The 21,762-nt window shown below is 50.4% G+C and overlaps 2 protein-coding genes and 1 pseudogene across 13 annotated transcripts in view, besides 5 other annotated features; 1 reads left to right on the top strand and 2 right to left on the bottom strand.

The window, feature by feature from the left end:
* SHBG (sex hormone binding globulin) overlaps positions 5,007 to 21,762 on the bottom strand; it is a 19,309-nt gene continuing 2,553 nt past the window's right edge. Inside the window, exons 1-8 of one of the 8 annotated variants that reach the window (NM_001289113.2) lie at positions 10,228 to 10,818; positions 7,872 to 7,963; positions 7,510 to 7,699; positions 7,018 to 7,179; positions 6,631 to 6,790; positions 6,364 to 6,500; positions 5,420 to 5,627; positions 5,007 to 5,175 (exon numbers count right to left, since the gene is read on the bottom strand). In NM_001289113.2, the coding sequence (NP_001276042.1) occupies positions 5,027 to 5,175; positions 5,420 to 5,627; positions 6,364 to 6,500; positions 6,631 to 6,790; positions 7,018 to 7,179; positions 7,510 to 7,699; positions 7,872 to 7,900 (1,035 nt within the window). In that variant the 5' untranslated portion in view covers positions 7,901 to 7,963; positions 10,228 to 10,818 and the 3' untranslated portion in view covers positions 5,007 to 5,026. Of the gene's footprint in view, positions 5,176 to 5,419; positions 5,628 to 6,363; positions 6,501 to 6,630; positions 6,791 to 7,017; positions 7,180 to 7,509; positions 7,700 to 7,871; positions 7,964 to 8,095; positions 8,245 to 10,227; positions 10,819 to 21,762 lie in introns of those variants that run through there. The other 7 variants (NM_001040.5, NM_001146279.3, NM_001289116.2 and 4 more) reach the window with 7 other exon arrangements.
* Positions 5,664 to 5,753: an enhancer, noted in NCBI's record as "active region_11640". NCBI's record gives its function as "activates an Ori minimal core promoter by ATAC-STARR-seq in GM12878 lymphoblastoid cells {active_cell/tissue: GM12878}" and the evidence as "EXISTENCE:reporter gene assay evidence [ECO:0000049][PMID:35858748]".
* On the top strand, positions 10,503 to 12,145 carry SAT2 (spermidine/spermine N1-acetyltransferase family member 2). 5 transcript variants are annotated; one of them, NM_001320845.1, is made up of 6 exons: positions 10,503 to 10,826; positions 10,965 to 11,016; positions 11,153 to 11,236; positions 11,335 to 11,436; positions 11,586 to 11,626; positions 11,765 to 12,145. In NM_001320845.1, exons 1-6 carry the CDS (start codon positions 10,524 to 10,526, stop codon positions 11,930 to 11,932), a joined length of 750 nt encoding a protein of 249 aa, NP_001307774.1. In that variant the 5' UTR covers positions 10,503 to 10,523; the 3' UTR covers positions 11,933 to 12,145. The 5 variants fall into 5 exon arrangements, with proteins under 5 accessions (NP_001307774.1, XP_016879562.1, NP_001307775.1 ...); XM_017024073.1 differs by having other exon boundaries at positions 11,586 to 11,672; NM_133491.5 differs by having other exon boundaries at positions 10,558 to 10,809.
* Positions 10,570 to 10,649: an enhancer, noted in NCBI's record as "active region_11639". NCBI's record gives its function as "activates an Ori minimal core promoter by ATAC-STARR-seq in GM12878 lymphoblastoid cells {active_cell/tissue: GM12878}" and the evidence as "EXISTENCE:reporter gene assay evidence [ECO:0000049][PMID:35858748]".
* Positions 10,860 to 10,919: a silencer, noted in NCBI's record as "silent region_8134". NCBI's record gives its function as "represses an Ori minimal core promoter by ATAC-STARR-seq in GM12878 lymphoblastoid cells {active_cell/tissue: GM12878}" and the evidence as "EXISTENCE:reporter gene assay evidence [ECO:0000049][PMID:35858748]".
* Positions 11,130 to 11,179: an enhancer, noted in NCBI's record as "active region_11638". NCBI's record gives its function as "activates an Ori minimal core promoter by ATAC-STARR-seq in GM12878 lymphoblastoid cells {active_cell/tissue: GM12878}" and the evidence as "EXISTENCE:reporter gene assay evidence [ECO:0000049][PMID:35858748]".
* Positions 17,172 to 17,240, bottom strand: TRUND-NNN6-1 (tRNA-undetermined (NNN) 6-1; annotated as a pseudogene).
* Positions 18,461 to 18,661: a silencer, noted in NCBI's record as "peak2713 fragment used in MPRA reporter construct". NCBI's record gives its function as "represses an SCP1 promoter by STARR-seq MPRAs in K562 erythroleukemia cells {active_cell/tissue: K562}" and the evidence as "EXISTENCE:reporter gene assay evidence [ECO:0000049][PMID:32103011]".

Genomic DNA, 21,762 nt, shown 5'->3' with positions numbered 1-21,762 from the left:
ACATTTCTTATATATATTGAGAAATATATATATATCTCATATATTGAGCACTTTCTGTATGCCAAACACTATGCTAGACATTAAAATGTCTACATGATTTCATCAAATCTTCACAGTAACCTTCTAAGATAGAGAAACTTCCCATTTTGTAGATGGGGAAACAGTAATAGAGGTTTAGTCATTTGTTCAACTTCGCACATCTAACAACTCGTTTCTTTTGTTTTTTTATTTTTTTGTTTTCTTGTTCCGAAGTCTTGCTCTGTTGCCCAGGCTGGAGTGCAATGGTGCAGTCTCAGCTCACTGCACCCTCCGCCTCCCGGGTTCAAGCGATTCTCCTGCCTCAGCCTCCCCAGTAGCTGGGATTATGGGAGCCCGCCACCACGCCCAGCTAATTTTTTGTATTTTTAGTAGAGATGGGGTTTCACCATGCTGGCCACGCCGGTCTTAAACTCCTGATTTCAGGTGATCCATTCACCTTAGCCTCCCAAAGTGCTGGGATTACAGGCATGAGCCACCGCGTCCAGCCATAACTCATTTCTTTGATGGTCCTTAGTAGAACTAGCAACTAGGTTTCTTGGCATCTCAGATACCTCTGCTAAAGCATTTTACATGTCTATCTCTCTCTCAAGACCCTGGTTCTGGCTGGGCCCGGTGGCTCACGCCCTTAAACTCAGCACTTTGGGAGGCTGAGGTGGGCAGATCACCTGAGGTCAGGAGTTTGAGACCAGCCTGGCCAACATGGTGAAACTTTGTCTCTACTAAAAATATAAAAATTAGCCAGGTGTGGTGGTGCATGCCTGTAATCCCAGTTACTTGAGAGGCTGAGGCAGGAGAATCACTTGAACCCGGGAAGTGGAAGTTGCAGTGAGCCAAGGTCACGCCATTGCACTCCAGCCTGGGCAATAGAGGGAGACTCTGTCTCAAAAGAAAAAAAAAAAAAAAGGCTGGGCGCGGTGGCTCATGCCTATAATCCCAGCACTCTGGGAGGCCGAGACAGGCAGATTACCTGAGGTCAGGAGTTCGAGACTAGCCTGGCCAACATGGTGAATCCCCATCTCTACTAAAAGTACAAAAATTAGCCAGGTGTGGTGGCACATGCCTGTAGTCCCAGCTACTTGGGAAGCTGAGACAGGAGAATTGCTTGAGCCTGGGAGACAGAGGTTTCAGTGAGCTGAGATCATGTCACTGCACTCCAGCCTGGCTGAAAGAGCGAGACTCTGTCTCAAAAGAAAAAAAAAGGCCAGGCACAGTGGCTCACGCCTGTAATCCCAGCACTTTGGGAGGCCGAAGCGGGTGGATCACGAGGTCAGGAGATGGAGACCATCCTGGCTAACACGGTGAAACCCCGTCTCTACTAAAAAAACAAAAAATTATCTGGGCGTGGTGGCGTACGCCTGTAGTCCCAGCTACTCAGAAGGCTGAGGCAGGAGAATGGCGTGAACCCAGGAGGTAGAGCTTGCAGTGAGCCAAGATCACGCCACTGCATTCCAGCCTGGGAGAAAAAGCGAGACTCCGTCTCAAAAAAAAAAAAAGACCCTGGTTCTCCAGCCCAGTACCAAGTTTTATATTCATCTTTAGAGTCCCTGTGGTGGGCTACACAGTATTTGACCAATGTATCAGCAGCCAATACATGTTAATTGAATGAAAGTTGGGGGGGGGGCGCAGCAAGAAGGGAGGGAGAGAGAGAGAGAGAGGCAGTGGGTAGGATGGGGTGAGTGGGTAGATCAGGCCCAGAGGCTTTAGTGTGTGCTGCCAAGCTCTGAAAAGTTTTTGGGGGTGTGGGGAAGGCAGGGGACACTGGGCAGGCATCGTAGGTGCCCTTGGTTGGGGACCTGGCAAAGTCGATGTCAAAGCGAAGTCAGTCTTAATGAAAGAGTGTAGACAGCTCTGGATGGTAATCAGGAATCCTGGAATCTAGGGCAGGCTGGGGAAAGAGAGGTTGGTGGCACAGTGTCCTGGAGAAGGTGGGGTGGAGGGAGGAGAGAAAAGCCAGCTCCGAGGAGATTCCAGGGACAAAAGGTCAGGATATTGGCACTCGGAACAACCCCCTTGGTGGGTGCCCAGGTACATCCGGGCTCTTTAACCCCCCTCCCTGCTGGCTCACACTCCACAGGCCTCCACAGGATGACTTCTTTTCATTATTCAGGTCTCTGCTCAAATGACTTCCCTGACCACCCAGCTAATGTTGACCCTCCCCTCCCCCTCCTATTATATTACAGGGTTTTGTTCCCTTTATTGCTCTAACCGCTATCTGAAATAATCCTGCTTATTTATTTGTGTTCTTGTTTGTGTCTGCTTCCCCTCTACTATGCTATAAGTTCCATCAGAGCGGGGATAGTGTTTGTCCTTTTCTTTTTTCTTTCTTTCTTTTTTTTTTGAGACGGAGTCTCGCTCTGTCGCCCAGGCTGGAGTGCAGTGGTGCGATCTCCGCTCACTGCAAGCTCCACCTCCCGGGTTCACGCCATTCTCCTGCCTCAGCCTCCCAAGTAGCTGAGACTACAGGCGCCGCCACCACGCCCGGCTAGGATGGTCTTGATCTCCTGACCTCATGATCCGCCCGTCTCAGCCTCCCAAAGTGCTGAGATTACAGGCGTGAGCCACTGCGCCCAGCCTGTTTTTGTCCTTTTCACCAACGAATCCTCAGTATCTACAACAGTGCCTAGTACATAGCGGGTGCTCAGGTGGCCTAGGTTAGCCCTGAACGTCAACAAGGGGCCAGAGTTAAATGTGGATGCCCTCTCCATTGCTGAAGACTCCACTACCAACACTGCTGGCTGGGTGGAGGCAGTTGTAGATCCTGAGAGGGTCTATAGGGTCAAGATTAGGAGAGGTAGAAGGTGGGGCTTGGGATTTGTGTCTTCTACCCTACAGACTCCCCAGGGCCTCCTTACCCTGGAGTCATTTAGGTCCCGGCTGATCTCTGCAGAAGGGGACAGCAGCTCCAGTGAGTGACTCAGCCTGCTGCCTGGGTTACTGGTGAAAAGATTCTTGTAAGAAATTAGGAGTCTTGGACACTGGGATTCTCATGGGGTCTGGAGATGGAGGATGCTTTAACCTAATGGTTCTTTTTAAGTTTTTTTTTGTTTTGTTTTGTTTTTTTGAGACAGAGTCTCACTCTGTCACCCAGGTTGGAGTGCAGTGGCGCAATCTCGGCTCACTGCAACCTCCACCTCCCAGGTTCAAGCAATTCTCCTGCCTCAGCCTCCCGAGTAGCTGGGATTACAGGCGCCCACCATCATGCCCAGCTAATTTTTGTATTTTTAGTAGAGACGGGATTGCACTATGTTGGCCAGATTGGTCTCAAACTCCTGACTTCAGGTGATCCGCCCACCCCGGCCTCCCAAAGTGCTGGGATTAAAGGTGTGAGCTACCACACCTGGCTGACCTAATAGTTCTTGAGAGGAAAGAGGATGGGGGGCTTTAGCCCCAGGGCTCCTTAGTAGGCTGGGAGCTTTGGGCTAGGACACAAGGGTTCCTAAGAGGGCAGAAGACTGGGAGCTGAGGGGTAGGGGCTATGGGCTTGGATACGAGGGTTCCCCAGGGAGGGATGCTGGGCACCAGCATTCTCTAGAGGTCTGTGGTTGAGAGCTGGGTCACCGTATTCTTTGAGGGGAGAGATATTCCCAAATCTGTCTGTTTTTCCCAGCTGGGACCAGCACAAGCCAGTTCTTGCTTAATGGAGTAGAGACAAATTTGTCTGGGAAGGCAGCAAGTGGACCAAGACTAGGAGAGAGAGAGAGAGACGCGACTTTCTCCCTCTGCTCTCCTCCCTTTTTCTTTCTCCCTGCCTCCACCCCTTTTTCCAGAACCCCTACCCACATCTCTCTGTGACCCTCTCACGCCCCCTGCTGCTTCTTCCCTGGGCAGCAATGGCCAGTCCAAGGACCAGATGACTGAGATGTCAAAATCCCATCTCTTCCCTTCCTCCTGATCTCTCTGGACCAGCCACAGAGGCAGGAAACTGGTCTCAAAGGGAGTAGCTTCTGCGGAACCAGGTGGGTCCTGGCTTCCAGAAAGTGACCTGTATCCAGAGTATGTCTGTCTGTCGGGGTTTTTGCTGGGATCTCAGCCTAAGAAGTCCTCATTTCCAGCCGGACGCAATGGCTCACGCCTGTAATCCCAGCACTTTGGGAGGCCGAGGCAGGAGGATCACCCGAGGTCAGGAGTTCTAGACCAGCCTGGCCAACATGGTGAAACCCCACCTCTACTAAAAATACAAAAAATTAGCTGGGGGTGGTGGTGCACGCCTGTAATCCCAGCTACTCGGGAGGCTGAGGCAAAAGAATCGCTTGAACCCGCGAGGCGGAGGTTGCAGTGAGCCGAGATCACGCCATTGCACTCCAGCCTGGGCAACAAGAGCGGGAAACTCCATCTCAAAAAAAAAAAAAAAAAGAAGTCCTCATTTCCTTAGAGAAACTCTCCTTGACGCTCAGACTAAGTTAAGGCCTCCTAGTCTCCATGTTTTCTATTTTTTCTTTTTTCTTTTTTTTTGAGATGGACTCTTGCTCTGTTGCCCAGGCTGGAGTGTAGTGGCGCGATCTCGGCTCACTGCAAGCTCCGCCTCCCGGGTTCACACCATTCTCCTGCCTCAGCCTCTCGAGCAGCCGGGACTACAGGCGCCCGCCACCATGCCCAGCTAATTTTTTTGTATTTTCAGTAGAGACGGGGTTTCACCGTGTTAGCCAGGATGGTCTCGATCTCCTGACCTTGTGGTCCGCCCGCCTCTGCCTCCCAAAGTGCTGGGATTACAGGCGTGAGCCACCACGCCCGGCCAGTCTCCATGTTTTCACAACTCTCCAATTCTTCTTTATCAGTGCTTCCAACTATCCACTTATTAGTTAGCCTTTGATGGATGTCTGCTTCCCTATGGGACTGTGGGCACCAAGAGGGTAGGAACCAGAGTGTTTTTGCTCATTAAGACAACTCAATACTTGGCACAGTGCCTGGTACATTGCTAGTGCACAGTGAATATTTGTTGAATAAATGAATAATCAGTAACTTTCAAAGGGGGTTCTTAGGTGGAGCTTTAATGGGAAGCGTCAGTGCCATTGCCTGGGCTCTGGGGGCAGCTGTGAGTCCAGATCTCATGGCTTCTGTTCAGGGCCTGGTCCACATCCAGCCTCTGACCTTGTGCCCAAAGGCCATTCAGGCAAAAAGAGGTGGAAGAGTCTTCTCCTAGAGGGAGGTAGTGCAAAGGTGGCATTAGAGCATTAAGGTGGCTCGGATCCAGAATCTTCTCCCCACTTTTCCACTCCTCCAACCTGAGTTTGCAAAAGCACTACCTTCCACTGCCCCCATATCTTCTTCTTGTGGCCTATTCTTCTTCCCTCCCAGAGGTTTCCTTCCCCTCAAAATGTGCCGCCTCCCTTGAGCTGTTTCCAATGTTGTGCTCATGAACTTGAACATCATTCTCTCTTACCTGGTAAAGCCCCCAGGAAGAGACGCCCTTGAGGCTTGGCCCAGAGGTTAAGGAGGGGAGCCAGGCCTAAGGGAGGCAGGGCAAGGGCCTTCATCTTCGACCCTTGGCTCAAGACCACCCTGGACATACTCAGCTTCAGCTGAAGAGGGAGTCCCAAGACCAGGGGCAGATCCAGCCCTGGCCCCGACCCAGAAGACAACACCACCTTCTGCAGAGTGTGTGGGAAAGGGACGGTAGAGAGAGAGGGAAGAATGAGCCGGGCCTACTGCCTGTGGCCTCACCCCTAGCTGCCTTAATTCTGCCTCTTCGCTATGCCTCCACCTACTGGCCATTCTCACCACTTAAATCCTGCCCCAATTTTTTTTGGCTTGACCCTTTTTGAAACCACACCTGCCCCAAGTAAATATGCAGTCTAAGTCAAAACTGTTTGCTTGCTGTGGGGAGCTTCAAGATATGTCCCTCGCCCCTACCACCCACCTGAGTGCCATCCATAAGCCTTATTTTTATTTTTATTTTTTTGAGACAGGGTCTCACTGTGGCCCAGGTCAGAGTGCAGTGGCACATCATAGCTCACTGCAGCTTCAAACTCCTGGGCTCAAGTGAACCTCCTGCCTCAGGCTCCTAAATAGCTAGGGCAGCAGACATGTGCTACCATGCCTGGCTAATTTTTTTTTTTTTTTAGACAGAGGTCTCTGCTATGTTGCCCAGGCTGGTGTCAAACTCCTGGCCTCAAGTGATCCTCTGGTCTTGGCCTCCAGCACCTGGGATTACAGGCAAGCACCACCATGCCTGGCTAATTATTAATGAAAAACAATTCTGTGGAGCCAGTCTTGTTATGTTCCCTGGGCTGGAAACCTTCCTAATATTGACATGTTGGACTCCCCTCTTCCCTCATTGCTCCAGGCTCCACTGAATACAGGCAATGCCCCACTGTCCCCCTTTACTTGATCTTGGAGGTGGAGACTGAGCCAAGATGGGTTCTCTGGTGTCCCAAGAGCAAGGAGGTGGCCTGAGCCTGCTGCCTGCTTGAGTCCCAGGTCCAAAGAGAAGGCCCAGGGCTCTGCATGAGGCTGGGGAATGTCTGTGGGGAGAAATGATTATCCTGAGGCCTCAAAGCTGGGGTCTCAAGGAGGAAAGGGGCCAGTGGTAGAGGGGGACAGAGGCAGGCTGAGCTGGCCAGGGTGGGAAAAATAGACTCCGAGGAAATCTACCTCGGAGATTGAATTCTGCCTGAGTCCCTGGAGGGAGAAATATCCCGGGATTTGATTCTACATCACAGCTTCTGAGGCTAGTGGGGGCAGATGCTGAGATCTCGGCCTGTTTGTCCAGCCAGGAATCCCGGCGCAGGCAGCCATCCAGGGCAGGAACCAGCTGGAGTGTGACAGAGATAAGATACGGGGATGTAGAAATCAGGGCATCGGAGCCGCAGTCCCGACCTCCCTGCCCTCAGTTGACTCCCCTCTGAGCATTTGGCCTCCCCCTTGCAGCTCTCAACCCTTCCCTTCTCCCTAAAAGTGTGGACTTAGATTCCCACGGCCAGCCACCCAGCAGTGCTTTACCAAGTCTTGGCTAGGGTTCCACCCCTGGGGTGTAGTTACCGGCAACCGAAGGTTGGAAGCGGGGAAGAGCAGCCCCCCAAGCGCAATCCTCATGATGGGATGGCGTTTGCTGGTCAGGGGCCCAGAGACCTGTCTCAGGCGCAGCACCTCCTCCCCATCCACCTCCAGCAGCACAGAGTCCCCCTCCATCTTGACTTCCACCTGCAGGAAGGTGGGAAGCAAAATCAGAGGCCCCTGGGATCTGTTTCTGCCACCTTCCTGTGAGGCAGCCTAGTACTATAGTGGAAAGAACATGCCTTAAAGAAGCAGCTAGCATCCTTGGCCTTGGGTCACTCAGCTCTTGTCACTTATATACTGACTGAGCCTTAGAATTCCCATCAGAAAAGATGGGGCCAAGAATAGCTACTTTGTGGGGGTTCGTGTGGATTAAACGAGATGACAGTGGTAGAGGGATGCCCAATAACTTGGTTTTGTTCCCTTTCCTCAGACCAGCTCCAGACATCCCTCCCCTGAGGACCAGAGCTAGCTTACCTGGTGCCATCTCCCATCATCCAGCCGTGGTCCAGCACCCACCGTAAGCTGGGCCCAGTGATTGTGCAGTTGGATCTCAGGCCTGCCGTCTCGAAGTCCCAGCATAAACCAGTCATCCTTAGGGTTGGTATCCCCATAAAAAATCACTCCCTCTGGGTCCCAGGTTCGAACCTCAAAGGAGGAGGAGGTTCTGGAAGGACACAGAAGGAAAGATTGTGTATGTCATGTGTCCTTTGAGAACCAGTGTGGGTTTGGGGGAGATGGTGTTCACAGATAAGGAAAGGAAGACAGGGAAAAGAGAAGAGCTGATGGAGAGAGGGCAGAACCAGGGGACTGGGTCAAGGGCTAGGCCAACCCCATACTTTGTGATCTTGGTGAGGTCAAAGGTCATGACAGCGATAGGCTCTTGTCCTGGGCCATTGCTGAGGTGGACAGCCGGAGGGTCGTGGGCACTCTATCAGAAAGAGAAAACAAACAAAGCTGAGTAGGGACATGTCAGAGACAGACAGAGGGAGAGGCCCTGCTACAGGGCCAGAGGAGAGAAGGGAAGACTGCATGAGCTGAGTGCCCTGTCCCGCTCCTGCACCTGGGTGGGGAGAACAGGTCTCAGGGCCCATCCCTGGCGGGTGTGACGCAGTAGTAGCAACAGCAGCAACAGCAGCAGGCGCGAGGTAGCCAGTGGGCCTCTGCTCTCCATAATCAGCCACTGTCCACTCGGCGGCTCAGACAACTCTTGGGAGAATGTGTAGAGGCAGGCAGCCTTGCGTGTGGGCGGTGGAGGGTTAAAGGTTGCCCGGGGAGGAGGGGGTAAAGGAAACAGGGGCACTGACCCTTGACCCCTGCCCAGGGGCCCAGTCACAAGACTCAGCTATCACCCCTCTGGGGATCAATGGGGTGAAGGACAGAGTCCCCTCCACTATCATCCTCCACTGCCGAGAAAGTTTCTGAACTGGGAGAGGATATTCCATCTCCCCTCTCCTCCTCTAGGGCCTGATCTAGGTCCTCCAAGATTTCTGTCCACTCGGGGAGCCTGCATTCACAGGCCTGAGGTCTAGAAACAGTCCTCCCCTGCGTCCCAAGTAGCATCCTGTATCAGGACTAGAAATGAGATAATGGAATCCTAAATTTCTAGCTGAGTGACCTTGGGCAAGTCACTTCACCTCTGTGCTTCAGTGTCCTTGTCTGTAAAATGAGGAAAATAATACTTTACGGGGTGACTGTGAAAGAGGGTTCATTGAGAAAATGCAGGCACAGTGCCTGGCATCTGGTCTGAACTCCTCCCCCAGTCTTTTCCCAGGCCTCTGAGGCCTGTCTCCCAAGAAGGTATTGTCTGTGTGTATGATTCAGTGAATATTAAGAAGGGACCTGCCCCCCGCCTCTCAGTTATCTTCCCTTATCCATTTATTACAGGGCCTAAACAGTCTAGCAGTAGAAATCACCCACTCCCTGACCCATTTTATTTTATTTTATTTTATTTTATTTTATTTTATTTTAGACAGAGTCTTGCTCTATCACCCAGGCTGGAGTGCAGTGGCGTGATCTCGGCTCACTGCTGCCTCTGCCTCTCGAGTTCAAGCGATCCTCCTGTCTCAGCCTCCTTAGTAGTTGGGACTACAGGTGCACGCACCACCACGCCCAGCAAATTTTTTTGTGTTTTTAGTAGAGACGGGGATTTCACCACGTTGCCCAGGCTGATCTCGAACCTCTGACCTGAAATGATCCGCCCACCTCAGCCTCCCAAAGTACCTGGATTACAGGCATTAGCCACAAGGCCCGACCCTCCCTGACGCATTTTATTTTATTTATTTATTTTGAGATGGAGTTTCGCTTTTGTTGCCCAGGCTGGAGTGCAATGGCACGATCTCGGCTCACTGTAACCTCCACCTCCCAGGTTCAAGCGATTCTCCTGTCTCAGCCTCCCGAGTAGCTGGGAGTAAAGGCATGCGCCACCACACCTGTCTAATTTTTGTATTTTTAGTAGAGACGGGGTTTCACCATGTTGGTCAGGCTGGTCTCAAATTCCTGATCTCAGGTGATCCGCCTGCCTCTGCCTCCCAAAATGCTGGGATTACAGGTGTGAGCCACTGTGCCCACCCCATGACCCATTTTAAAATGCAAATGACAGACCGGGCTTGGTGGGTCACATCTGTAATCCCAGCACTTTAGAAGGCTGAGGCGGGCAGATCACTTGAGGTCAGGAGTTCCAGACCAGCCTGGCCAACATAGTGAAACCCCGTCTCTACTAAAAATACAAAAATTAGCCAGGTATGGTTGCCCATGCCTGTAATCCCAGCTACTCCGAGGGTGAGGCAGGAGAATCGCTTGAACCCAGGAGGGAGAGGTTGCAGTGAGCCGAGATCGCGCCACTGCACTCCAGCCTGAGTGACAGAGTGAGAATCCGTTAAAACAAAAAAAAAGAGAAGAAAAAAGAAAAAAAAATTAGCCGGGCGTGCCGGTGCGCGACTGTAGTTCCAGCTACTCCGGAGGCTGAGACAGGAGGATCGCTTGAACTCGGGAGGTGGAGGCTGCAGTGAGCAGAGATCGCGCCACTACACCCCAGCCTGGGCGACAAAGCAATACACCATCTCCAAAAATAAATAAATAAATAAATATAAAAATAAAACATTTAAAAAATGCAAATGCCCCCAAGAGGTAACACTTCATGCTACTCAAGAGCTGCAGGAAACAGCTTTCAGAGCTGAGGGTCTTAAGGCTTACCCAGGGTCTGGGCGGGTGAGTGAGCCTGAGGCTAAAGCAGGTTATCACTGCATATGTCAATTTAAAAAGCACTGCGGGGGAGCCTTTGAACCGCGGGGTATCTCGACCCAGGTTGGGACACCCACACAACCGCAAGGAAGCCGCTTCACTCCAACCTTGAACTCTACCCAGGAGCCCAGTCACAAGATCCAGCTGTCGGGGGTGGGGCTTGGGGGGGACGCGGCCGTGCCTGTTCTCCAAGCTGATTGGCTGACAGTTGTGCCCCCTGCTGCGACAGAATTCGAGGGGGTGGGGCTATGCCCGGACAGAGGATCGCCTCGCTGGCCTACTCTCTCCTCCCGTACGGCGCCGGAATCCCAGCTCCACTTACCAGGCCGCGGCTACCCCGCCGTCCCCCCCGACTCCCGCCACCCCGCTCTCTCAGGCTCTTCAGGATCCAAGTCCGTAGGCCCTTTAAGGGGTCTAGTTGCCGTTTGCGAGGCCCTGGGACTTTGGTCCCAGACAGCGGGGATCCGGATGGCTTCCGTGCGGATCCGAGAGGCCAAGGAGGGAGACTGTGGAGATATCCTGAGGCTGATTCGGGTGAAGACTGCAGGCCGGTAACCCGGGGGTCAGAGTGGCGCGGCCAGAGCGGGGTCGTAGGAGGCGGGGGCAGGGGGAGGGGCTCGCCTTGGGAACCTGCTCGGGGAGCAGCGGGGCCCTTCTGCTCTAATCTAGCTTCCGTACCCACGCCTTAGGAGCTAGCCGAATTCGAAAAACTCTCGGATCAGGTGAAGATCAGTGAAGAAGGTGGGGGCTCAGCGCCCAGGTTCTGGCGGAGGCTGGGGAGGAAATGAGGGATGGGTTCCCCAGGCGACAGCTCCAGGCTGGGCATACACCCACGTCCTCTTTCTCTATCTCTTTGTCACAACTCCAATCTCGGCAGCCCTGAGAGCAGATGGCTTTGGAGACAATCCTTTCTATCACTGTTTGGTAGCAGAGATTCTTCCAGCGCCCGGGAAGCTACTGGGTAAGAGCACCTGGCCCTTAGAAGTCCACCTCTCCAGCCGGCCTCAGAGGTCTCCCCACAGGCTTCCAGAAGCCTTACTCCCCTTTTCTCTCTCTCAGGGCCCTGCGTGGTGGGCTATGGGATATACTATTTCATCTACAGTACATGGAAGGGACGCACCATTTATCTGGAGGATATCTATGTGATGCCGGAATATCGGGGTACTGGGCAGAAGCTGAGGCTGGGGTGGGAGCAAAGCACCCCACAGACCCCACTGTTATCCCCTGTCCCCAGAGCCCAGCCGGTGTCATTTTCTGATCCCCTTCAGCTCAAACAATAGCTATTTTTTGCCTCTTTCTCTCCACAACAGGTCAAGGGATTGGTTCCAAAATAATCAAAAAGGTGGCTGAGGTGAGGAGATGGGTGGGGCGACAAGTGAGGACCTGAAGAAGCAAGGGTATATGGAGGGGGGACCCGGGTTGAAAGAGGGAGTGAGAAAACCTTTTTCTTTTTTGACCCCAGAAAAGTTAGTGTTGTCTTCTCCCACAGGTGGCCTTGGATAAGGGCTGCTCCCAATTCCGCCTGGCCGTCCTGGACTGGAACCAGAGGGCCATGGACTTGTACAAGGCCCTAGGAGCCCAAGATCTGACGGAAGCTGAGGGCTGGCACTTCTTCTGCTTTCAAGGAGAGGCAACGAGAAAGTTGGCAGGAAAGTGACGCCATCCCTAGGAGGATCTCTGTCTTGAGTTTCTCCTTCCCCATCAGCTGAAGCACTCTTCAGAGACTACGTCCACAGACACTGATGCTGAGGCCTCCCTGGAGGAAGGAGGGTTAGGGGTGCCTATCCTCAAGTATTGGAAGAGCAGAATTGAGGGAGAGACCTTTCTTCCTTGTTGAGGGTGAAAAATAAATAAGAATTACATGTCCTGATGTGGTGTTGGGTCTTTCTTTTATTTCTTTTTTTTTTTTTTTTTGAGACAGAGTCTCTGTCGCGCACGCTGGAGTGCAGTGGTGCGAACTCCGCTCACTGCAACCTCTGCCTCACGGGTTCAAGCAATTATCCTGCCTCAGCCTCCCGAGTAGCTGGGACTACGGGTGCGCACCACCATGCCCGGCTAATTTTTAGTAGAGACGGTGTTTCACCATACTGGCCAGGCTGGTCTCCAACTCCTGATCTCGTGATCCGTCCGCCTCGGCCTCGAAAAGTGCTGGGATTACTGGTGTGAGCCACTGCACCCAGTCCAAAGTCTTTTTTTTTTTTTTTGAGATCAAGTCTTGCTGTTGTCCTCAGGCCAGAGTGCAAGGAGTGCAAAGGTTTGATCTTGGCTCACTGCAACATCCGCCTCCCGGGTTCAAGTGATTCTCCTGCCTCAGACTCCCGAGTAGCTGGGATTACAGGCGCCTGCTACCACATGCGGCTAATTTTCGTATTTTTAGTAGAGACGGGGTTTCACCTTGTTGGCCAGGCTGGTCTCAAATTCCTGACCTCAGGTAGTCCGACTGCCTCGGCCCCCCAAAGTGCTGGGATTACAGGTGTGAGCCACCGCGCCCAGCCCACAGTCTTTTCTTTTTCTTTTTATTTTTTTTGAGACAGAGTCTCGCTCTGTCACCCAGGCTGGAGGGCAGTGGTGAGATCTTGGCTCACTGCAAGCTTTGCCTCTTGGGTTCTCACCATTCTCCTGCCTCAGCCTCCTGAACAGCTGGGACTACAGGCCCCCGCCACCACGCCCGGCTAAGTTTTTGTATTTTTAGTAGAGACGGGGTTTCACCGTGTTAGCCAGGATGGTCTCGATCTCCTGACCTCGTGATCCACCCACCTTGCCTCCCAAAGTGCTGAGATTACAGGCGTGAGCCACCACGCCTGGCCTGACAGTCTTCATTTTCAATCTGGTATGCCCTACAAAAGCTCATGCCTGGCCGGGCTCAGTGGCTTATGCCTGTGATCCCAGCAGTTTGGGAGGCCGAGGCGGGTCGATCATCTGAGGTCAGGAGTTCAAGAGCAGCCTGACCAACACAGCAAAACCCCATCTCTACTAAAAATACAAAATTAGCCAGGCGTGGTGGCAGGCGCCTGTAATCCCAGCTACTCAGGAGGCTGAGGCAGGAGAATCGCTTGAACCTGGGAGATGGAGGTTGCAGTGAGTCAAGATCATGCCACTGCACTCCAGCCTGGGCAACAAGAGCAAAACTCCATCTCCAAAAAAAAAAAAAAAAAAAAAAGCTCACGCCTGTAATCCCAGCATTTTGGATTTTGGGAGGCCGGCAAATTGCTTGAGCCCAGGAGTTCAAGAGCAGCCTGGCCAACATAGGAAAGCAAAGTCTCGTCTCTACAAACAATACAAAAAAAGCCAGCACGCAATGGCATGCTCCTCTAGGCCCAGCTACTGGGGAGGCTGAGGCATGAGAATCGCTTGATCCCAGGAAGTGGAGGTTGCAGTGAGCCGAGATCATGCCACTGGACTCCAGCCTGAGTGACAGAGCCATACCCAGTCTCAAAAACAAAAACAAAACAGCAACAACAAAAATCTCAACACTTTGAGAGGTTGAGGGTGGAGGATCACTTGAGCCCAGGAGTTCAAGACCAGCCTAGGCAACATGGGCAAGACCACATCTCTACAAAATTAGGCCGGGTGCAGTGGTTCATCCTTATAATCCCAGCACTTTGGGAGGCAGGCAGATCACTTGAGGTCAGGAGTTCGAGACCAGCCTGGCCAACATGGTGAAATCCCATCTCAACTAAAAATACAAAAATTAGCTGGGTGTGGTGGCACCCATGTAATTCCAGCTACCTGGGAGGTTGAGGCATGAGAATCGCTTGAACCCAGGTGGCAGAGGTTGCAGTGAGCTGAGATTGTGCCACCGCACTCCAGCCTGGGTGACAGATGGAGACTCTGTCTCAAAAAAAAAGAAAATGGCCAGGCGTGGTGGCTCACGTCTGTATCCTAACACTTTGGGAGGCCAAGGCGGGTGGATCACTGGAGGTCAGGAGTTTGAGACCAGCCTGGCGAACAGGGTGAAACCCTGTTTCTACTAAAAATACAAAAATTAGCTGGTCTTGGTGGTGCAAGCCTGTAATCCCAGCTACTTAGGAGGCTGAGGCAGGAGAATCACTTGAACCTAGGAGGTGGAGTTTGCAGTGAGCCGAGATTGCACTACTGCACTCTGGGCGACAGAGCAAGACTCTGTCTAAAACAAACAAACAAACCCAAAGAAAACAAAAACTAAATAAATAAAATTTGCCCAGGTCAGTAACAAATGCCTGTAGTCCCAACTACTCAGGAGGCTGAGGTGGGAGGATCACCTGAACCCTAGAGGTCGAGGCTGAAGTGAGTCACGTTTGTGCCACCACACTCCAGCCTGAGTGACAGAGTGAGACCTTGTCTCAAAACAAAAAAAAAATAATAGGTTGGGTACAGTGGCTCACGCCTATAATCCCAGCATTTTGGAAAACCAAGGTGGGTAGATCAATAGAGTCCAAGAGTTCAAGACTAACCTGGGCAACAGGGCAAAACCCGGTCACTGCAAAAAATACAAAAACATTAGCCGAGCTTGGTGGCAAATGCCTGTAGTCCCAGCTACTGGGGGGCTGAGATGGGAGGACGGCTTGAGCCTGGGAGGTTGAGGCTACAGTGAACTGAGAACCTGTCAATGCACTCTAGCCTGGGTGACAGAGCAAAGCCCTGTCTCAAAAAACAAACTTTAATCACTAATGCAGAAGATAAAAGAGTATAAACTAGGAAACTTAATACTTCCAAAATTTTGTTTGTTTGTTTGAGATGGAGTTTCACTCTTGTTGCCCAGGTTGGAGTGAAATGGCACGATCTCACTCACTGCAACCTCCACCTCCTGGGTCCAAGCAGTTCTCCTGCCTCAGCCTCCTGAGTAGCTGGGATTACAGGCATGCGCCACTACGCCTGGCTAATTTTGTGTTTCTAGTAGAGATGAGGTTTCTCCATGTTGGTCAGGCTGGTCTCCAATTCTGACCTCAGGTGATCTGCCCACCTCGGCCTCCAAAAGTGCTGGGATTGCAGGCGTGAGCCACTGTGCCCGGCCAATACTTCCAAAATTTATCTTGCCCCCATCTTGTTTTGTCTTTGGTTTTCAGAGTTTACTTTTTTTTTTTTTTTGAGACGGAGTCTCGCTCTTTCGCCTAGGCTGGAGTGCAGTGGCGCGATCTCGGCTCACTGCAAGCTCTGCCTCTCAGGTTCGTGCCATTCTCCTCCCTCAGCCTCCCAAGTAGCTGGGACCACAGGCGCCTGCCACCACGCCCAGCTAATTTTTTTTTTTTTTGTATTTTTAGTTGAGACGGGGTTTCACTGTGTTAGTCAGGATGGTCTCGATCTCCTGACCTAATGATCTGACCACCTCGGCCTCCCAAAGTACTGGGATTACAGGCGTGAGCCACCGTGCCCAGCCCAGGGTTTACATTTTTAATGTTATTACCCTCACCTTGGTCCCAGATCTTACTAATATTCATAGAATATCTTTGCACTCCAGTATCACTCCATTTTCACAACCACCCCCATGTCTACATCCTTGGGCTCCAGCCCATTCATCACTTCATTAGCCATCTATAAAATGATCCTGGCCAGGCCAGGCGCAGTGGCTCACGCCTGTAATCCCAGCACTTTGGGAGGCCAAGGTGGGCAGATCACCTGATGTCAGGAGTTCCAGACCAGCCTGGTCAACATGGTGAAACCCTGTCTCTACTAAAAATACAAAAATTAGCTGGGCGTGGTGGTGGGCACCTGTAATCCCAGCTACTTGGGAGGCTGAGGCAGCAGAATTGCTTGAACCCGGGAGGTGGAGGTTGCAGTGAGACAAGATTGAGCCACTGCACTCCAGCCTGGGTGACAGAGTGAGACTCCCTCTTACAAAAGAAAAAAAAAAGTGATCCTATTAGGTGTTGGGGCTGATTGGAGTGGGGTGAAAAGGGCCTGGGTTCTGTCCATTCTAAGGGAAACAGAGTGGAGGGTATTTAGGCTAATGGCTTTTTAAAGGGAGAATAAAGAAAACTTGGGCTGGGCGTAGTGGCTCACACCTGTAATCCCAGCACTTTGGGAGGCCGAGGCGGGTAGATCATTTGAGGTCAGGAGTTTGAGACCAGCCTGACCAACATGGTGAAACCCTGTCTCTACTAAATACAAAAAAAAAAAAAAATTAGCCGGGCATGGTGGCGCATGCCTGTAATTCCAGCTACTTGGGAGGCTGAGGCAGGAGAATCGCTTGAACCCAGGAGGCGGAGGTTGCAGTGAGCCAAGATTGCGCCACTGCACTCCAGCCTGGGCAACAGAGCAAAACTCCATCTAAAAAAAAAAAATTAAAATGTCTCTCAAATCTGTCCATAGCTCTATCCTTACTTGCAAAGTTCTCACTCTTTGAAAATTGCCACAACCTCCTTACTGGTCTCCCAGCCTCCTTCTGTAATTTCTCCCCCAATTCCATGGGATTTTTTTTTTCACAGATATACATTATGTACTTTATTTTATTATTTAAATTTAATTTATTTCTTTATTTTGAGACCAGTTTATGCAGCTGGTTTTTTTTTTTTTTTTTTTTTTTAGACGGAGACTCGCTCTGTTGCCCCCAGGCTGGAGTGTAGTGGCATGATCTTGGCTCACTGCAACCTCTGCCTCCCAGGTTCAAGTGATTCTCCTGCCTCAACCTCTTGAGTAGCTGGGATTACAGGCGTGCACCACCACGCCCAGCTAATTTTTGTATTTTTTTTTAGTAGAGATGGGTTTTCACCATGTTGGCCAGGCTGGTCTCAAACTCCTGACCTCAGATGATCTGCCCGCCTCAGCCTCCCAAAGTGCTGGGATTACAGGTGCGAGCCACTGTGTCAAGCCCATAATTTTTGTATTTTTAGTAGACATGGGGTTTCTCCGTGTTGGCCAGGCTGGTCTCGAAATCCTGGCCTCAAGCAATCCTCCATCCACATAAATGATAATACATTTGCCCACGTGGCGATCAAATCCACAACCTTGGTGTTAGCACCTGGCTCTAACCAACTGAGCTAACTGGCTATTGCAAATCTTGATTTTTTTTTTTTTTTTTTTTTTTTTTTTTGTGACAGGGTCTTGCTCTGTTGCCCAGGCCAAGTGCAGTGGTGCGATCATGGCTCACTGCAACCTTGACCTCCTGGGCTCAAGTGATTCTCCCACCTCAGCCTCTCAAGTATCTGGGATCACAGTCAGGTGCTATCAAGCCTGGCTAATGAAAGCAAAATTTTTGTCTGGGCACGGTGGCACATGCCCGTAATTCTAGCACTCTGGGAGGCCGAGGCAGGTGGCTCACCTGAGGTCAGGAGTTCGCGACCAGCCTGACTACCATGGTGAAACCCTGTCTCTACTAAATACAAAAAAATTAGCTGGGTGTGGTGGCACATGTCTGTAATCCAAGCTATTTGGGAAACTGAGACAGGAGAATCACTTGTACCTGGGAGGCAGAGGTTGTAGAGAGCCGAGATTGCACCATTGCACTCCAGCCTGGGTAACAAGAGCAAAACTCCGTCCCCCAAAAAAACAAAAAAAAAAATTATTAATCTGGGCACTGTAGCTCACGCCTGTAATCCCAGCACTTTGGAAGGCTGAGGCGGGTGGATCACTTGAGGTCAGGAGTTCGAGACCAGCCTGGCTAACATGGTGAAACCCCACCCGTCTCTACTAAAAATACAAAAATTAGCCAGATGTGGGGGCAAACGGCTGTAATCCAAGCTACTTGGGAGGCTCAGGCAGGAGGATCTCTTGAACCCGGGAGGCAGGGGTTGCAGTGAGCCAACATCGTGCCACTGCACTCTAGCCTAGGCAACAGAGTAAGACTCTGTCTCAAAAAACAAACAAACAAACAACAAATTTTTTATTGGAGACTAGGTCTCACTATGTTGTCCAGGCTAGTATTGGACTCCAGAGCTCAAGCAATCCTCCCACTTTGGCCTCCCAAAGGAGGGAGGATTACAGGTGTGAGCCACCACGCCTGGCCAGTATTACCACTTCTTGATGTCTCTTTTTCTTTTTCAATTTTTTCAATTTTTTTTTTTTTTTGGAGAGGGATAAGGAGTCTTTACTTTTTTAGAGACAGGGTCTTTTTCTGTTGCCTAGACTGGAGTACAGTGGCACGATCATAGCTCACTGTAACCATGAACTTCTGGCCTTAACTGATCCTCTTGCCTTGGCCTCCCAAAGGGCTGGGATTACAGGCATGTGCCACTGCTCTTGGCCTTACTTCTTAAGGTTGAGGCTGAAGTGGGGCATGTTTGAGCCACTGCACTCCAGTGTTTTTTGTTTAGGCATTAGCTATTGGCTTTGCACTGTTGAGGATGAAAAGCTAGCCCTTCAGAACACGGATCACTGAGGTTAAAAAAAGAGAAGCACTATTTTTCCAATCTGCTTATCATCCCACCTCCACTTCCCATCCTCCTGTGTTTAGTGTTTACTTTTTTTTTTTTTTTTTGAGACGAAGTTCCGCTCTTGTTGCCCAGGCTGGAGTGCAATGGCATGATCTCGGCTCATGCAGAGGCAACCTCTGCCTCCCGGGTTCAAGCAATTGTCCTGCCTCAGCCTCCTGGGTAGCTGGGATTACAGGTGCATGCCACCATGCCTGGCTAATTTTTGTATTTTTAGTAGAGATGGGGTTTCACCATGTTGGTCAGGCTGGTCTCGAACTCCTGACCTCATGATCCGCCTATCTTGACCTCCCAAAGTGCTGGGATTACAGGCATGAGCCACCGCACCAGCCTTAGCATTTACATTATTATGATTTTTTTTTTTTTTTGAGATGGAGTTTCACCCTTAATGCCCAGGCTGGAGTGCAATGGCGCGATCTTGGCTCACTGCAACCTCTGCCTGCTAGGTTCAAGCAATTCTCCTGCTTCAGCCTCCCGAGTAGCTGGGATTACAGGCATGTGCCACCACACCTGGCTAATTTTGTATTTTTAGTAGAGATGGAGTTTCTCCATGTTGGTCAGGCTGGTCTTGAACTCCTGACCTCAGGTGATCTGCCCACCTCGGCCTCCCAAAATGCTGGGATTACAGGTGTGAGCCACCATGCCTGGCCTCATTATTATGATTATTATGATTATACGAATACACGTATGATCCATGTGGATAGTTACAATTCTTTTTCTTTCCTGTACCATTTTTGTTTTCCCTGGAATTAATAACTGCCTTGTCCTCTCTGTTTGCTTAGTTTCCTGTGTACTCTAATTTATCCCCAAATTCTCCCTTAATTAATCTCTTATAAGGATATACAAACACTTAGGGATTTCAATCTACGTCATTTTGAAGAACTTTCTCAAAAAGCTCTTAGACCTGCTCCAGTCCAGAGAGGCGATCTTGAGGCTGCGCAATTGGGATCTCCCTTCACCTTTATCCTGGGGATCCCCTTTGCCTCTCTCTTGTGTTGACGTCCTGTTTCCTGGAACCTGTGTTTCCTCTTTCTATGTTTACTCTTCTTATTTTGATGGAGCTTTTTGAGAAAGAGTACCGGGAGGTAAATTTGTTGGGAACTTAAAAGCCTGAAAATGTCTGTTCTATTACTGCACTTAATTGAGAGTGTGGGCCGGGCGCAGTGGCTCATGCCTATAATCCCAACACTTTGGGCAGCCGAGGTGGGTGACCCACCTGAGGTGAGGAGTTTGAGACCAGCCTGGCCAACGTGGTGAAACCCCGTCTTTACTAAAAATACAAAAAAAACAAAAACAAAAACAAAAACAAAAAAAACAAACCTAGCCAGCTGTGGCAGTGGGCACCTATAATCACAGCTACTCAGGAGGCTGAGGCAAGAGAATCACTGGAACCTGGGAGGCAGAGGTTGCAGTGAGCCGAGATCATACCACTGCACTCCAGTCTGAGTGGCAGAGTAAGACTCTATCTCAACAACAAAAAAATATTGAGAGTGTGGCTAGGTATAGGAAACGAGGTTGGAAATAATTTTTTTTTTTGAGACAGAATCTTTCTCTGTCACCCAGGCTGTATGTAGTGCAGTGGTGTGATCTCGGCTCACTGCAACTTCAGCCTCCCAAGTTCAAGAGATTCTCCTCCCTCAGCTTCCTGAGTAGTTGGGATTACAGGCACACGCTACCACGTGTGGCTAATTTTTATATTTTTAGTAGAGATGGGGTTTCACCATGTTGGCCAGGCTGGTCTCAAACTCCTGACCTCAGATGATCCACCCACCTCGGCATCCCAAAGTGCTGGGATTACAGGCGTGAGCCGCCGCACCCAGCTAATTTTTGTAGTTTTGGTAGAGAAAGGGTTTCGCCATGTTGCCCAGGCTGCTCCTGAACGCCCGAGCTCAAGTGATCTGCCTGCTTCAGCCTCGCAAAGTGCCAGGATTACAGGCATGAGCCACCACACCTGGCCTTGGAAAATTTTGTTGAATAATTATTACTATTGATTTTAGATGATTTTATCCTTTCCAGATAATTATTTCTGTTATCACTTTCTGGAATTCTGGTTATTCAGATGTTGTATCCCATGGACTAATCCTTTAATTTTCTTATACTTTATTTTCCTTTCTTCTATCGCCTTTATTTATTTTTGTTTTTTATTTTAATTTTTTGAGATGGAGTCTCGCTCTGTCACCCAGGCTGGAGTGCAGTGGCACAATCTTGGCTCACTGCAACCTCTGCCTCCTGGGTGCAAGCGATTCTCCTGCCTCAGTCTCCCGAGTAGCTGGGACTACAAGCGCGTGCCACCATGCCCAGCTAATTTTTGTATTTTTAGTAGAGATGGAATTTCACCAGACTGGTCTTGAACTCCTGACCTCAGGTGACCTCAGGTGATCCACCCGCCTCAGCCTCCCAAAGTGCTGGGATTACAGGCATGAGCCCTGTGCCTGGCCATGGTTGCAATATTAATAATTATTATAAATATTAATAATTTTTCCAGTGTCTTTCTTCTGCCATCACACTATGAAGTCAGAGACTTCCAAGTCTGTTTGTCTCCACCATTAAATACAAAAATTTAAAAATTAGCCAGATGTGGTGGCTAAGCTCAAAGGGCAAAAAAAAAATAAAAGTAAATTCATCACCTTATTTTCTAAACCTTTATCTCCTATGTTATCTCTTCCATGATTGGCATTACCATTTACTCTAATCCAAGAAGTGGATGGAACATAGGACAACTCCCAGAATGTGAAGTTTTCCTGCTACTACCCTTATTTCATGACAGTTTTTCCTATTTTGAATTTCCCCAGCATTATTTATTATTATTATTACTATTTTTTGAGACAGAGTGTCGCTCTTTTTGCCCAGGCTGGAGTGCAATGGCACAATCTGGGCTCACTGCAACCTCTGCCTCCCAGGTTCAAGCAATTCTCTTGCCTCAGCCTCCCAAGTAGCTGGGTTTACAGGCATGCACCACCATGCCCAGCTAATTTTTGTATTTTTAGTAGAGATGGGGTTTCACCATGTTGGCCAGGCTGGTCTTGAACTCCTGACCTTGTGATCCACCCATCTTGGCCTCCCAAAGTGCTGGGATTACAGGCGTGAGCCACCGCGCCGGGCCACTATTATTATTATTTGTTGTTGTTGTTGTTGAGATGGA

Source organism: Homo sapiens, chromosome 17 (assembly GCF_000001405.40).
Source record: "Homo sapiens chromosome 17, GRCh38.p14 Primary Assembly".
Lineage (NCBI taxonomy): Eukaryota > Metazoa > Chordata > Mammalia > Primates > Hominidae > Homo > Homo sapiens.
Note: the sequence above shows the minus strand (reverse complement) of the source record. Positions and strands in the feature narration are given on the sequence as shown.